General features: G+C 40.8%; 1 protein-coding gene across 60 annotated transcripts in view, besides 1 other annotated feature; it reads right to left on the bottom strand.

The window, feature by feature from the left end:
- CELF2 (CUGBP Elav-like family member 2) overlaps nt 1-13,662 on the bottom strand; it is an 874,126-nt gene that overhangs the window by 286,389 nt on the left and 574,075 nt on the right. The gene's annotated exons all lie outside the window — the stretch shown is intronic.
- Nucleotides 336-836: an enhancer, noted in NCBI's record as "H3K4me1 hESC enhancer chr10:11091414-11091914 (GRCh37/hg19 assembly coordinates)". NCBI's record gives its function as "activates a minimal SCP1, AML or CMV promoter by ChIP-STARR-seq in naive H9 embryonic stem cells {active_cell/tissue: H9 hESC(naive)}" and the evidence as "EXISTENCE:reporter gene assay evidence [ECO:0000049][PMID:30033119]".

Below are 13,662 nucleotides of genomic sequence, written 5' to 3'. Positions count from 1 at the left end.
CAGGATGTTTTTAAGCCCATTACACTGGACTTCTCTCTGAACACTTCACGGACAAAGAGTTCGGGACACAAATACTGTTCTCTTCTTAGAACGCCACATTTTCTGTGGCTCATTAACTCTTCTCAGTGCCATTCAGTTCCCTGCCCTTAGCAGGAGGCCAGTTTGTCAGGAAACCCAGAGGGAGCAAGAAAGCTGGAGCTGCCCAGCTGAGCCACACATCCTGATGAAACTATTTATCATAAATACTGCCTGCCCCAGAAGGCCCTCTGAGCACCTGACAGGCCACAGGTGGCATGTGGAACCAGCAGGTGGCATGGGGAACCAGCAGCAAGTGTTTATGGTGCCCCTGAGCATGCACACGGGCAACGGGGTCCCCGAAGGACACTGCCAGTCCTCCGCAGTGGTAATGTTCTGAGGATGCATGAATGACACTGTGTTCTCCTCCTCCCAGCTGTGAAGGTGTGTTTTGTAAGCACTGTCACACTTAGCACTCCCCGCCCCACAACACCCAGAGTGCACATACAACCCATTTAAAGAAAAACAAAAAAATAACCACTACAAGGAGGCAGGCAAGTCATTATGAGTAACCATATCTCTATGGCCCTTTCTAGTCCAAATTCTCTAAGTATGTGCCGGAAGCGTGAGGTAGTACAGAAAAGGGGAGATGCAGAAACAAAATAACATTTTGAGAAAAAAAATTAGTATTTTTTTTTTTTTTTTTTTTTTTTACTAAAGAAAGGGATAGGAACAAATAAGTTGGGAGAAAAAGGGAACAGGAATGAAGATCAGAGGTCCCGGTTCACATTGTTTTCACAGACTACGTCCTTGACCTCTCCCCCATCTATTTTCGACATAAAATGATTAGACGCAAACAGGGCATCTAAACTAGCACAATCCTGTTGACATTAGAATACACGAGTAAAACGACTATAGGATTCACCACACTGGACCACACCGTAATAATCTCAATAATTAAAATATTACTAAAAGTCAATTTGCTGAGATTCTCACTTGAGGCTTAACTTAGGAAGTTGTAAGGAGAAAAAAAGACAGGCAGTTTTAAAAAAAAAAAAGATGGCATACTAACAAGTGCAGCTATTGAAAATATCTGGAAGGCTAAGCTGATTTTTTTTTTAAGCAAGGAAAAAGACTTTTTTTTTTTTTAACAGAACAGTTTGTTCAAGGTTACATAAGAACATGCAGAAAACAAGTGATTTCCTTCTTGCCAATTTCTCATGGTAATAGGTTACACCCAAGATCCCACTCAATTCTGTACATATTTTGAAGCTCCTCTGGCTTCTAATACATGAATGCAGTATCCAGAGACAAAGACGGGGCTGTAAAACACCTAATTTCTGTTTCCCTGACAATTCCAATGATGTTGTGCTCCCTGTCACTCATTTAAATTAGGTATTCTGCACTCAGAGTATTTACATGTAATGCACTTATGTGCACACACACTTTGGAGTTTTTAACCAACTAATTCATACACCTACATTTGTAATTACAGTCAGTGAATAAGAACCAGATTGGCTGAGATGGAAAATGACAGTGCTCTGTAATGTATCCAGTTTATAAGTTTGGATTGCCCCTCAAGAAAAGAGGAAGACTGTGTTCTTAGATTCTACCTTAGGTGTTTTATGAATGCGTTTTCACAGCTTAGTGGATCTTACCCAGCGTAATGGTGTTGTCAAACAAGGGTGGATCTAACTCTTCCCAGATGTCAATATATTCCTTACACGGGAAGTAGAGGTGGGATAAAACAGAAAACCAGGATTGGTGGCACGGGAACATTTACTGTCACAAATAACCATCCTGGAATTAAAAGTTAAACTACAATACCCTAGGTACAGTAACGCAACCATCTGATTATCAAGTATATGTCAGGTTCATCTCTCACTACTTTTATATACGTAATACTGAGAAAGCTAAAAATGCATATTCTGTTCACTGCCAGTTTTTAAAGCAGAGGCAAGAGCCTAAATGCAAAGGGGGAAAAAAAGGTCAACTTTTCTATTGTCAAGAGTGTTAATAACCTGCAGCTATAAAACTCTCCCTCTTTCCTTTGACAGTGTCGTAGAGATTAATAACCTCCACAGTTCAAACTATACTTTCTTGACATTTTCTAGTGACTGAGAAAAGCTACATTGCAGGCAGAGTATCACTAACTGGAATACAGCCTTGGGGAGTGTTGAGGGGAGGAGGTGTGGGCCAAACAATGAACCTGAGAAGAGAACAAACTGGCAGGGAACAATTCTTACATTTGGAGAGAGGGCTTCAGGGGCTTGTTTAAATTATGAATGAGTGAATCTTTATTATGATATTTAGTTCATTTTTCCATAATTTTGAAAGTTGACATCTAGAAGAGAAAAAAATTCTTCAGGTTTGTCCCAAAGTATTTCACTCTAGAAGTGCATGTGGCAACAGTAACATGATGGGTAAATTAGACAAATAAAACTTTGTCTAAATATAGGCAACATAAGAATGAAAATGTCTATATCCCAGAAAAATTTAGCCTGAAATCAGTATTCAGGAAAGGCACTGAGGTCTTCAGTAGTGAGAGAACTACTGAATAAACAAGATCTCATCACTACTTTAAATCTTCTAAAAATAAATTTTTTGCTTCAAAAAGGAGTTGAAATTTTGCCTATTGAATCTACACAGAAAAGAGCAGCTTTAATACCTCTGAGGCTTCTTTAGGAATCAAAGACGATGCTATAACGTAGGGATTTTCACACAGTACTTCCCAAAATCTGTTCTGCAGAACAGCAGCATCAGAAGATGCCATGGTCAGAGACTCTAGAAATCGCTCTCTTCCATACCCACAATGCACAACAGCCATATTAAAGATCCTGACAGCCCTGAATTAAAGATACCTGTTTATTTTGCTTAAACCCGAGTTCACTAAGCTTGCGTTCTTTTTGCCATAGAGACCCTTTCATCCACAGAACACCCTCCTAGTGTCCTCCAGGGACTCTACTTTGGAAAACACTCATCTCAAAACTGAACTCATGGGTTGGCTGTGAGTAAAGCACTAAAATTATACTCAGAAATTTAGTGGAAAAGATATTTACAGGTCTTTAATATCTTTGTATAGGACTGTATTCCCTTCTAAGTAGCAAGGACTCAGTGGAAATGGAAACTTAGAGATTGTTTTTATCTGTTTTCATGAAGGAAAACATCATTTTCCTCTAAAATGCTTAAATAGGAAGAGTTTAAAGGATGTGCAAAACAACCTCCCCCGCCCCTCCAAAATTCTTTTCTGGTGAAGAAATACTCCAGCGCTCAGACCTAGGAAAATGTGAGCGAAATAAACAATGGGTCTGACAATATAATAATTCCGAACAATCCTTCCTCTACAAGCCCAATTTGTTTTCTATCACATCTCTGGAAATTTTCTTCTCCCCAGTGACTCAAGCACATGTTAGCTTAGTGGAGGCAGTTTCGATGAAATTTAAAATTTTAGAAAATAAAGCAACAAGCCAAGGGCTTAAGCTTTATGTTAATAGGGTGTTGAGAAATAGCGAAATGAGATTAAAGACATGGGATTTACAAAAACTCTTTGGGAGGTATGAGAATCCTCATTCCTGTATGGGTCCTGAGGGTTCTGCGGGCTGTTATTAGCGTCCGTCTGAAATGAGTTAGGAAAAGAAAGGGTAAATGAGGAGAACCTTGGAGTCTATGAAAAAGCTCGTACTTCAGGGACCACAGAAGCCATGAAAATTAGCACTGAGCCCACATGCCCAAGACATAAAAGAAATCAGGACAGTCTTAATGAGAATCAGGCAGTGCGCCTAATGAGAACCTTAATATACTTTATCTTCCCTTTATATTTCATTTCGGTGTCATCAGAGGCAGTGAACCAACAAGTACTTATTGAGGGCATACTCTGTGCCCAACTCTGGGCCAAGTCGTCTAGGGAGATCCAAATTGCATCCAGCAGCAGTTGGCAATCTGTGATTTTCTGACCGGCACATTGACACGGGCATCACAATCACCTGGGAACTCGTTAGAGATGCAAATTCCCAGCCCCACCTTGGACCCGCTGAATCGGAACGTCTGGGGATGGGCCCAGCGTTCGGTGTTGTTAGACAAGCGGTGCCGTGATTTTGAGAACCGCTGGCGTGCAGCCCGGTTGGGGAGGCAGGAAAACATTAAACAGCAGCAAATAGAACAGAGCTGGAAGGTGTAGACAGCTCAAGTCAGCTGGTCTCCCTGTATGTTCAAACTCTTCATGAGCGAGTCGTTGCCTTTAAAAACAAACCCTGAGCATTTTAAATTTTGTTTCCTTTCTTTCACCTCTACCCCTAGAGGCTTCAGTGAAAAGAGCAGAGAACATTTGTGAACTCCCATTATTGTAACGATGAAATAAGCACACATTCTAACGGGTATTGTGAGTGTCCTGGCCAGATTAAGTGCCACAGAAAGATCTATTTTTTGTTCTTTAAATAGGCTATAAACAGATATGGCACCTTAAGGGGGTCTCTGTGTTATATTTGTTATATTGCGTTCAGCAGTAGGCCCCGTTCCCTTTTTCAACAAATGGAATGATGTACAGCTCTGGGGAAAGAAGCGGAGGTCATACATTTGCATTTTATTGCTCTACTTATAGCCCTTTTACTACTCTTTACCTGAGAGTCATTCCAGCCTCCCTTTGCCAAAGAATATTTCATCACACATGGTGTTCAAATGTTTTAATAGTAATAATTGCAGTTAACATTTATTGAGCATTTCATTAGGTGCCAGGTACTTTATAGGAATCATCTCATTGAATTCTCACACAAACTTAGAGGGTAGCTACAGTTATTCACCCATTTTACAGGTAAGGACACTGAATATTGGAAGATAAAGTCTCATAGTGACATGTTAAGGTATAAAGTTAATGGCTGGGGGCAGTGGCTCACTCCTGTAATCCTAGTGCTTTAGGAGTTTGAAGTGGGAGGACTGCTTGAGGCCGGGAGTTCTAGACCAGCATGAGCAACTTAATGAGACCCCTGTCTGTATAGAAAAACATAAAAAACTAACCCAGCTCTTAGCCTGAGCTCAGGAGCTTGAGGCTGCAGTGAGCCATTATCATGCCACTGCACTCCAGCCTGGGCAACAGAGTGAGATCCTACCTCCAAAATAAAAATAAAGTTAAGACTCAGCCTTAGGTAATCCTGACTGCGGAACACAAGTTCTCAGTCACAGCATCATATCCTCTTGAATTATTTAGGGTACTGGAAGGCACTGGAACATTATCTTCACCAAAGTTAATATCAGCCTTACTTATTTTTGGCTATTCTATTAAATGGAATAAACAGGCGAGTAGAGGCCTGGAAGGCACTTGAACAATCTGGAATTCCAGGTAACAATGTGCTGCACAGTAAGAATAAATTAAACTATGAATGTGCAATTCAAATACGTGGACATATTTTGTCAATATCCCTTTTGGTATTGTGGTATCATGTTTTAGATAAGATTCTCAACAGCAGAGTCTCATCCTTGGATATTATAAAACTACAAGAGCTCTATGTATATATAAGTGAGATCCTTATTAGAACCACAATAAGATATTATAATATTACAATAGTATATCCTAGGGTATTGTAATAAAAGGCTATTATCGTGTACTTGGCTAATAGGGTCCATACTGTTATAATGTATTAAAACCAGATTGAGTAATAAAAATGACAATATTACCATCATAATCTCTGGTACTTGGTGGGGGGAAACATTTCTCAAATGAGGTCTCAAAGCACCTGCCCAGAATTATTGCAAATTTATATACGAAGAAACTGTGCTACAGAGATTCACACAAATTGATACGTACATATAGAAGTCTTTTGCAAGATGTAAAAAAAAAATTTAAAGCTCACCCAAAATAGGTTGGCAGCAAAGACTGAGTGATGCCAAAAGGGAGAATAAAATAACCTGTTCATTTAACAGTAATTTACTGACTTCCTGTTTTGTGCTAAGAACCGATCCAGGCTATGCAGATATATCAGTAAGCTCAAGAGACCAAGCCCCTGCTGTTTCGGGGCTCCCATCCCAGTAGACAATACGGAAAAGCAACACAAAAGCAAATAAATATGGAGCATTTTGTTAAACGGTAAAAAATGCGATGAAGGGGATAAAGTAAGGTAAGAGGATAGAAAGTGATGGGACACTGTTTTTTTGAGATGATAGTCAGGGACCGCCTTTGGATGAGGCGACTAAGTAGATTCTTAGAAGAAGTGAAGACGCAAAGGCCGTGCCCACAACTGAGGGAAGAGGGTTCAGGGCAGAGAGAAGAGCGAGCACAGACAACCTGAAGAGGGTGTGCTGGCAGCGTCACAGGACAGCGAAGAAGCCCATGTGGGTGGAGCAGAGCAAATGTAAGATGCTGGAACTGCAAGCGGCAGGCGGTCTGTGGCTGTGGGATATTTTAAGGACGCTGGCTTGCTTTCTAGGTATGCGAGGAAGCCACTGGGGGATCCGAGCACAATCTCAAGTCCAGGTGAGAGATGATGGTCGGGTGACCAGTCCAGATGGGAAACATGTGTACTCGGTCTGGGGCGTAAGAAAGCAGTGGCCACAGCAGGAGCGACTGCAGGTGGAACGCGGAACCCACAAGGTTGTTGATGGCCTGGATGTGGAGAATGTGGGAGAAGCAAAGCCTCTGGAGGTCTGCCCGGAGCAGCTGGCTAACCATTTAGTGAGATGGAGAAAGGAAGGACGGGGGATGAGGAGCTTGATTCAGGACACGGAAGTCTGCGATGCAACCATGTAGGCATCCAAGTAGAAAGAGTCCAGCCAGGAGCGGGATATTCAATGCTGGTGTTCAGGGCAAGGTTGAGGCTAGAAACACACAACTGGACTGCATCAGAGATCACAGAAACCAACTGTTCCATTCCTTATAATGGGAAAATGAATATAAGTAATTCCAGACCAATTATTATTTTCTCATGTGTTTTTTCTTCACCCAGCTTTCCTGAAATGCAATGTTGCAGTGAATGGTGACGGTGAGTCAGGAGACATGAGTTCTACCAGCCCTGGCCCTGCCTAATACCCTCCGGGCTTAGTTATTACTTTCTGTGTCCCACCCTTCTCATTACAAAAGCAAACTTAACTGATCGTGATCCTGGGATGGGCAGCAACAACTGTTGCCAAGGATGCAGCAAGTTGGAACCTCATACGCTGCTGGTGGGAAGGTAAAATGGTGCAGCCACTTTAGACAAACAGGTTGACATTTCCTCAAAAACTATTGCATGACCAAGCAACTTCACTCCTAGGCATATACACAGGAGGATTAAAAATAAGTTTTCACACAAAAACTTGTACTTGAATGTTCATAGCAGCATTATTCCTAAAAGCCAAACCATCTTAAATGTCCATCAACTGAGGAACAAATTGTGGCACCTATACATAATGAAATATTGGGCCATAAAAATGAGGTCCTGAGATACACTGTAACATGGATAAATCTCCAAAAACATCATAAGTTAAACAAAAGCCAGACACAAGAGGCCACATATTATACAATTACATTTCTGTGAAATGTACATGTAACAGGCAAATCCAGTTAACACAGAACAGAGATCAATGGTTGCCTGGGGCTAAGGGAAATTGGGGTGGGGGAGGTGACCCTTAAAGGGTACGGGGTTTCTTTTTTGGGTGATGAAATTGTCCTGGAAAAGATAGTGATGATGGTTGCACAACTTTGTGCATATGATAAAAACCACTGAATTGAACATTTTAGAAGGGTGACTGGCTTTCGTGGTATGTGAAAGACAGCCACAGTCAGGCACAGCTTCTCAGATAAAAAGAAAAGACACACCAGGTTAAAGTCTTACGCTGTCAGAATAAACATCAATGTGAGTCTATGCTGTTAGAAGAAACATCAATGTGAGTCTTCAAAGTCAAGAGAGACCGTTCAATCATCTGTATGCAGCAATAACCAAGATGTCCACCAATTGTACTCTCATTTCCACCTTTGCTCTGACCTCTGCTTCCAAAGAACTCTAACCTTTGACTGCCCAGTTTAAAGTTATTCAACACAAAACAGTGCTGCCAGGCTTTAAAAAGCTCGGGATCAAATATACTGTCTACTGTCGAATAATAACAAATTTGAAAGGGAAGGAGATAAATGTAAGTTTCTTTCTACCATAAGAGAAAACCAACCTCTTGGTAATCTTCTGACAAATCAACACAGTGCTAAGCCCCCAGCTTTCCTTTTCATGTTATTACTGAAATTTTGATCATGCAAAAATCGTTCAACAGAAATGTTCTAGTCTATCCATCTAAGTCTACCCATGGCTAACTATGTACCCATAATTATGCCCCCAATGGGTAGATCATAATATATAATTTTAGTACAATTCACATACATGACAATGGAACTAATCACAGTAATCTAGAAAGAAGTATGCACCAAATATATGAAAATCCCAATAATCTTGACAATTCTTTCGTATATATAGTAATGGGTCTGTGGATATCCAACTATATCAGCTTACAGATTGTAAACTCTCCATGATAGATTTAATTCCACAGGGATTAATGTTATGTCCTGATGGAAGGATCAGAGATCCCACTGGATTCACAGCATGAAAATGGACCCATCTCTTTATATAACTGTCACAGGAAAATGGTCTGAAAACACAATGAGAAAAGTTCATGTAACTTGACTCATCAGAAACTACGAATGAGTTGAGAACTAAGAATTATAAATCATATTGTTAATACGAAGTCTTACCACCCTGATACCATCTATAGCTGCACTTTATTTTTTCATCCTCATTACAAAAGATGGCGTGAGAACTTTCCCTGGTATGACTTTCTGAGTGAACCTGCTCAGAGTTTAAAAGAGAAATCCTGAGGCATGTGTGTTTAGACACCAACACCATTATTCATAGCCAGTGGGTTTCGATACTGTACTACCATTTCCCTAAGTCTTGCCTTAGGTAGTGTCTCCCTCTCTCTCTCGGGATCTTACTCTACATCTTGATACCACCACTGTTTATCATGGACTGACTGTGTCCCCCTAAAATGCGTATGTTAAAGTCCTAACCCCCAACATGATGGTGTTAGGAAGTGGGGCCTTTGGGAAGTAGATTGAGTTGTAGTCACAAGGGCGGAGCTCCCGTGATGGAATTAGTGCTCTTTTAAGAAGAAAAAAGGACACTACAACTTTTTTGAACCATGTGAGGGTACAGCTAGAAGGCAGCCCTCTGCAAGCCAGGAAGAGAGCCCTCACCAAGAACCAAATGTGTCAGCACCTTGATGTTGGACTCCGTAGTCTCCAAAACCTTGAGAAATAAACATTAGTTGTTTAAGTCGTCCAGTCTATGGCATTTAGTTATAGCAGCCCAACCAAAGTAAGATATTCATGGCAGGAGGCCATAGAACAGCAGCTGGCCAGAGAACAACCTATCACAGAGATGGAGCTAAACAGAGGCTTAATGCAGCCCTGAATAATGGAAAAATATTGAAAATATTGAATATTTTTGATAATTTGAAAAAATATTCAAAATATTGAATGGAAAAACACCTGAAAGGTAGAAGGTGAAATCAGTTGGAAGAGAAGAACTCACAAAATCAAAGGGAAATAAAAAATCATTTCCATGAGTGGGGATATAACTTTGAGGATGCAGAGTTTTCCCAGCACCTAGGATGGTAACGGGCACATAAGCAGGCATTTAAAAGCATTTGTTGAACCAAGGAACAACAACAAAAACCATTACACAGGAAAAACAGAGCGACCAACCAGACCAGAACAACAAGGAACTGCTTGGAAGTGCGTCGCTACATAGAAGATACATTAAATAGGTTTCTCCTGGTGGCTCAGAGTTCTAGGCTCCATAATTAAAATTCTGTACAAATTATACCTTTAAAAGTTCCATAAACTATTGTTACTTTTATTATATGATGCAGTTTATCAGCTGTGAAGATGTTATTATAGCAGATTAGGAACTTATTAAACACTAAACATAAGACAGTGTGTTTTCGAAACAGAGACCCTATTTTGCTTCTTCTCCAAAACACTGTCTATATCTTGTTAATGCTTGTTTTGAATTATCTCCATATTGTTGGAGGCCATTCACAGAGAACACAGTTAAGATGGCAGTCAGATACATAAATGAAATGCCACCCTTTCCTTCTGCTTTGGACTGCCCTGAGAATTCTTGAACTTCCTCCTGTCCTACCTTCCCTTATCAACAATCATGTGGTCCCATGATCAGTGGCATGAACATTTTAAAGTTTTTCAAAATTTACTATTTTCCTACGAGACACTGAACTCCCTGAAAATAGGAAGTCTCAATTAAAAAATCAATTTGTCATGGTCCACATAAAGATAATCAATACATTTTGCTCTCAGTCCTTGGGATGGTTTTTGTAAATAATATTAGCTTGACAAAAACAAACAGGAAGATCCCACCCCCAACACATACCACATTCCAATGTTACCTGGAATTAAAATATATACCAACATGCATCTTTAGGTTACTCTGGTCCATGGTTTCCTCCAGTGGCAATGGAATTTACAAAAATGTAAGACGTAATAGATATATAATTATCTTTTTTCCTAAATGAAACTAGCCTTAAAAACTGGTACATAATGTTCCTGGTTCAATGATCAAAATTATGAAGTACACTTAACCTATCTTCCATTGAGTGGCTTTAAATGGAACCTTAAACTGTGACTCAAGAACTTGTTTTCAGTAACATGCATTAGAAGCGTGTAAAGCTTACAAAATAAGATGTGTACGTGGGCAAACATGGGACAAGCAGTGTCTTGTGAAGTAAATAATTAACTCTGAACTCGTTTTAAGGTACTTTGAGTACACACTGTGACCGTGACTACATAGCTCACCACCCTAATGGTATAATTCACACAACCAGCATAAGAAGTAGGTTGGAGGAATAGTCCAAAAAGTACTATGTTATTTAATAGCTTTGATGGGCTACATTTGAGATGAGCTTACATCCCAAATCCTGGCATGGGAGGTGCCCCATGAGAATTGGCCCAGTTCATCTCAGCACCAGCAAAGTGCATTCTCCACTTTTCTTCCTATCTCATCTGATGTGTTTGACCCACTCTGTGCCATACAGGGCACGAAGTGTTGTGGGCAGAAGGCTCACTGCATCACGGTTTCTGCTCTCAGTGTCCTCCACGCTAATAGGAGAGCTGACACAGGACTCGGCTGTTATCGCCGTTACATGGTCGATGCCATGAGAGTGGTGTGGATGCAAGCGCGTGTGCACACTTGTCCAGGATACTGTGGAAGCTCAGGCGCACTTGGCTTAGGGTGGTGGATGGTTGAGGGGATGAAACAAGAAGACTGCTGGCTTTCTACAGGAGGCCCTGCTCCACCTCGATCTCAAAGAATCTGTAAAAATTTCCATTTTTAACTCCAAAAGCAAGTTTAGTAAGTTTCACTGATGCCAGAAGGGTTTTAATAAACATGAATCCAATCAGTATAACTTAAAATAATTATCACAGTTTTAAGCCCACCTATGGGGTTCCAGAAATTTAAATGGTTTTATGTGAGATATTTATACTAATGTTAGAGCACCATTTAAAATAATAATCCTTGACTTTTATCCTACCATCTTTTGTAATATATGATTTATAAATATATATGTGTAATGTGTATGAAATCAGTGCTGAAATGGATATTCAAATTTTCCTTCTAGAATTCATTTTTATAGTGGTGTACTGCATAGTAGTTGATTATTAATAGAAATCCTGTCATAATTCCTACTGTCCCAGTACCATAACTACTACTCTTTTGATGTACTTTGGTAGAAGAGTAATCACTGTCTAATAGGATTAACTTCACACCTTGCCTAAGTCGACAACCAACCTGTATCAATAACTTAATAAGCACTACCGTTTGAAATACCATTCAATTTCACACACCACATACCTCTACCAGTACAACTTGGTGATATAATGCAGCGCAAACCACTTTAGATGCATTCTTAGAAGCATTTTTTCTCTTAGGAATATAGGGCAGAGGCTAGGCAAGAGGACTCCACAAAGGGAAGCCAGGCTACAGATGGAAAAAAAGGAAGTCATTTTTCAAATGAAGCTACTATGTTCACCCCCTGAACGCTGACCTCAGCTCCTCTTTGCTGGTGTGGCTGGGTCCTCTCCGAGGCAGCCATCTCCAGGGAACAGTGGGACACAAAGCATTTCTCATGCGAGCTTCAGCTCCTCTGCCTGTTATCACCAGCAGCAACAATTGGTTTATAACTTAACATGGCTACCTACTAGAGTTCCAGGGAGTAAAGAGCATTTTTACAAAGTCTTACAGAAACTACATACTAAAATCACTGTTTTTTTTTTCCATAAACTTCGGCTTCCCCAAAACAAAGAAATCTCAAGCTTTTCACTTTGCCACTGCTCATTAATTCAACCTATAACCCAATTCTATCTTGCTCTCTACCTTTATACATGTTTTAAAAATTAAATTTAAAATCATAGGACCATGAACTAGAAGCATATCATGACACAGAAGTATCATGGTAAATCCATTTCAAAGTGGAGACTAAAGTGTCAGTAAGAAACTCAACAGCCCAAGCTAGGCCACGAGGAACCTTCACCTCGTACAATACTGAGTCTAATAAATGGATGAATAAACAACTCTCACCGTTCTTTTAGTAAATTACAGAAACCTTAGTGGGGTTTGTTACACTCTTAATAAACTGTTGACATGGGGCTGTGGCCAGCTTGAGCATTCAGCACGTGCCCATCACCAAGCAGATAGACTCCACTATCTACCATGGCTGACTCAAAGCCCAGGCTACTGAGACTGAGGAACAGCTCACCAGGAAACATCCAGATAAAAAGCAAAGATCACAAGTTGAGAAACAGCTTCCCCCTACCTCCACCCCAATCAGCTGAGATACAGTGGTCGATATGGTTTGGCTGTGTCCTCACACAAATCTCACCTTGAATTGTAATGACCCCCACATGTCATGGGAGGGACCTGTTAGGAGGTAACTGAATCAAGGGGGTGGGTTTCTCCCACGCTGTTCTCACGACAGTAAGTCTCAGGAGAGCTGATGGTTTTATAAAGGGGAGCTCCCCTGCACATGTGCTCTTGCTTGCGCCATATAAGATGTCCCTTTGCTCTTCCTTCGTCTTCTTCCATGACTGTGAGGTCTCCCCAGCCATGTGGAACTGTGAGTCCATTAAACCTCTTTCCTTTATAAATTACTCAGTCTCAGGTACATCTTTCTTTATTAGCAGTGTGAGAACGGACTAATACAGTGGGTGAAGATAGAAGCTCTCTAAAAAGGGAAGTATGAGAAGGACAAGGTGAGAGCCAAAGAGTGAGAAGCGCAAGACGCCCACAGTCAGGAGGCTGGAAGAAAGGGGGCATGGAGGGGTAATGAAGGATAATCAGAAAAAGCATCACATGTCACATAGGCCAACAGAGGAATTTTAAGGAGACAAATTGCCAAATACACCAAAGGCACATGGAACACATACTTTCATGACATAAAAAAACAACCAACACCCAGGCCATACTGATGCTTCCTCCCTCAGCCGCCCATGAGGCACAAGCCTATCTGTAAACCCCCAGCGGGCTCTCAGCGTAAAACTAGCAATGGAATAGTAGATCCAGGGATATCATCTTCCCATAGGAGATTGGTCTGAGGAGGCTAAAAGGGATCAATACACCACCAGGT

This window comes from Homo sapiens, chromosome 10 (genome assembly GCF_000001405.40).
Source record: "Homo sapiens chromosome 10, GRCh38.p14 Primary Assembly".
In the NCBI taxonomy this organism is placed as follows: Eukaryota; Metazoa; Chordata; class Mammalia; order Primates; family Hominidae; genus Homo; species Homo sapiens.
Note: the sequence above shows the minus strand (reverse complement) of the source record. Positions and strands in the feature narration are given on the sequence as shown.